The sequence below is a fragment of the Homo sapiens genome, chromosome 10 (assembly GCF_000001405.40).
Source record: "Homo sapiens chromosome 10, GRCh38.p14 Primary Assembly".
NCBI lineage: Eukaryota > Metazoa > Chordata > Mammalia > Primates > Hominidae > Homo > Homo sapiens.
Window position 1 is genome coordinate 100,712,809 of NC_000010.11, and position 3,584 is coordinate 100,716,392.

General features: G+C 56.3%; 1 annotated feature.

The window, feature by feature from the left end:
* Positions 944-1,753: an enhancer, noted in NCBI's record as "H3K4me1 hESC enhancer chr10:102473509-102474318 (GRCh37/hg19 assembly coordinates)". NCBI's record gives its function as "activates a minimal SCP1, AML or CMV promoter by ChIP-STARR-seq in naive H9 embryonic stem cells {active_cell/tissue: H9 hESC(naive)}" and the evidence as "EXISTENCE:reporter gene assay evidence [ECO:0000049][PMID:30033119]".

Sequence of the window (3,584 nt, forward strand, 5' to 3'; positions counted from 1 at the left end):
GTTGGAGCCTGAAAGCCAGGCAGAGCCCCCTCTGTCCATCGCCCCAGCCTTCTCCCCCCACCATCAGATGCAGGTGCTCGCATCTGCCATGCTGCTCTGCAGCTTTTTGTTCTTTTTTCTGTGTCTCTAATGCCCGTCTGTCTTTCTGACAGTCCTTTGTCTCCAGTTCTCTCTGCCTGGATTTCTCTCCCCAACAAAGTTCCATGCCAGGGACACATTCTGGGAGGAAGGGGCAAATGAGGAAGCCAGTGGATCTACCCAAGGTGCCTGAGCATGTTTCAACTCCTCAGTGGGCCAGGACCACGCTAATTTACAGGGATTATCCAAAGACCAGAACAGGCCCTGTTCCAGGACTCTCCTGCCACAACCACTGGGTTGTGAGCTCCTGGGAGTCCTTCTGACGCTGTTTCTTCTCCTACTCCACCCCCTGCCTCCACAGCAGCTCTGCGTGAAAAACGCAGAGGGGAAACAATTGCCCAGTTGAGCCCACCTGGCTATGCCACAGTTACTTTTCGCCATAGCCGGAAATACCACTGTTGGATCCACCTTCTGCGCCCCAGGCCTCCCCAGCCTCCGTACCCAGGAGGCAGCCAGCTTAGCAGGGTAGGCATGTGGGTGGCCCACCAGCTCCTGGAATGGAGCGTACTCCGTTTCTGGGGAGGTTCCCCGCGTCCTGCCTGGAGTCTAGAAGGGAGCGGGGAAGTGACCAGCACTAGATTAGAGGCGGGAACTCCGGATGAGAAAGAGACGAGGGGGCCAGGATCCCAGGGCTGGCAGCGACAGGAAGGATGGGAAGAGGTCCGCAGGCCCGACGGGTGCGGGCCAGCCTGGCCGCGCAGGGGGAGCTGGGAGCTGGGTGGGCGGGGTGGGGCGGACGCCACCAGGCGTGGCGCGGGGAACAGAGCAGAATGAAATGCAGATGCAAAACGTGCTCATAAGAGTTTCCTCTCTCTCCCCATCTGCCAAAGCCGAGATTTTAATCTTTAATCCATGAGCAATCAGCGAGCAGCGGCGAATGGCACATTACAGATGTTTTACTGTCGCGGGCGCTCGCAGCTTTCGCGCTCGGCACAGGCGCGCCGGGCGCCCCCGCTCCGCCCGCCCCCTCTTCTCCCCCTCTGGTTCTTCTTCCTCTCCCCTCCCCAGGTCCCCGTTTAACACTATCCCCCTCACCTGCACGCTCCTGGCCCGCAGCGGAGGTGGGACTGGGGAGCAGGGCCTGGGACTCCGCTGGTGGGGGTACACGCAGGGGCACTGGCGGGGGCGGGGGGCGACGGCACTCAGAATTGCGCTGAGGCAAATTCCCCGCCAGGTCCAGATTGGGGGGCGCGAGGACAGGAGCATCGAGTGCCCGGATAGCTGAGCCCCCCCACTCCCCATCCCCTTCCTGGACCCCACGTCTAGGGCCGCTGGCGGCTCCTGCGATTAGCGCTCCAGATGTTTGGCTGCGCTAGGGCTCCGCTTTCCAGATGTTGGACACCTTTGTTCTCACGTTTGGGATCGCCATCCCTTCAGCATGATGAGGAAGGAGAGTCCTGTAGCTGTCAGATCTGGGAGTTGCTAGGAAAATCTAGTGGCATGGAGTCTTTTAGAGAAGCTGATAAAATCTCACTTCAGTTGGGAAGTTCAGCCCTCTGGAGTCCCTCCCACTTCTTGGGAGCTTGAATATTGGGAGGAAGGTGAGAAGCCTAGGAATGTGACCCTGGAACTCATAGCAGGACCTGAGTCCAATATACTACCCCCTCACTCAGCCCCTGTAGGATCCCTGAAAGCCCCAGAAATATATTCTTCCCCAGTTCAGCAATCCTTAGCAGTGATTCCAGTTTGCAAAGATACATTTGTGATTAATTAATGTCTGTCACCTCCACTAGTCCATAAGTTCCATGAGGTCAAGAACTGTATTTTCACTCATCATTGTGTTCCTTGGGTCTAGCACAGGGCCTAGCACATAGTAGATGCTCAATAAATATTTGTTGACTGAATGAAGGCATTTGTGAGGTCTACTGTAATCTTGAACATGTTTTTTGGTGCTACTATCAATGAAGACAGGCTCTTCACCCCAGCACAAAAGCATGGGTACACCACTCCATCACATCGACACTCCTCCCCAACTGCAGCCCTCTTTCTAGGTAACAGCCTCCTTCATGCCCCCACCCCACCACTGCCCCACCCACCTCTATGGTGGATCTTTCCTATTAGTTAGAAGGAATCCCAGGGCAAGAGTGTGTCTGACACTAAACCAGGGCTCCTTTGGCCAGGGCCCCATAAGCTAGGCCCCCTCTGACTTAACCTTCACCCCCAACCCTTGGTCACCACTCCCTCCCCAGCTGACCTCTTCCCTTTGCATGGCCACAGAACTATCACCCTCTCTTATGCTCCCCTAATCTAGCGGTTCCAAACGTACCCCAATCCCAGCCCAGCCACAACCTGGTCCAATAGCCCACTTCACTCACCAGGGACCATCCCATCACATGGGACTCCCTATTCCCCACCCCAAGTGGCTTAGGGCCTTCTGGGAAGAAAAAAGGAGGGGAGGATGTAGAGACCGGAAATGTGGAGGATAAAGAGGTGGAAAAAAAGGAAAGCTAGACAGATGAAAAAAGGAGATCCACAACAGAGAAAGGCGTGGAGAAGGGCAGAGACAGAGACCAACGAAGTGGGGTCGGGTAGAAAGAGGCGGATATAAAGGCAGGCCAGAGAGAGTGAATGGCCGCGTCAGCCGCAAAGAGGCCCAGACAGATGGACGCAGGCAGGAAGACGGACAGGAGAGAGAGAGAGACAACGTGCGCCCGAGGCTGAAGAGCTGGGTCAAGAAGAGATTCGGCTTCCGGGAGCAGGGGCGTCCGGGAGGGACTGCCCAGGGCGCCCCGCTGCCCGAAGCCCAGCCCCGCCCCAGCCGCCGCCGGCGCCGTCTGTCGGCAGCCGCCCTGGGCCTAGGCCGCAGGGTCCACAGGCGGCCCTGACAGGCGGCGGCGGCGGTGAGGGAAGCCGGAGCGAGAGGCAGCGGAGCCGCGTGTGTGTTTTTATTATTATTATTTCTGATTAAAGAGGAATTCATCTCGTATCTGCCTCCTGCCAGGGGCCGAGGCTCCGCCATTGGGGTTAACGGTGCGGAAGAATACAAAAAAATTTCATTGAGGAGGATTATAAAAGTTACTAGCTGGAACATTAACAGAAGAGTAACTTGTAAAAAATGCAATATTACAATATTCACAAGGACGGCAGAGCGTGGTAAAGCTATAAAATTCAACATTAAAACCTTCCACAGCCTAGATAACCTAGTTAACAAACATGGGATTGGAACTACTTTTCTGTGGAGACAGGAATACGCGCCGGGGCTGGTCACACCTCTTCCGCGGGAGGGGCGGGGTCGGCGGCCACGGCCTAGCCGCGCCCCCCGTCCGCCTCGGCCTCCTCCCCGGGAAAATGGGCACAACCCGGTCCAGCGCTGGGGAATGCCTGAGGAAGCCTTCAGAACCTCAGACAGGGCTGCTTACTTGCGACGTTTTCTTTCATGGGAAGCGCTGATTAAAGCAGAGAGTTCAACGTGGATTTAGACCTGTCGAATAGGATATACATTTCTA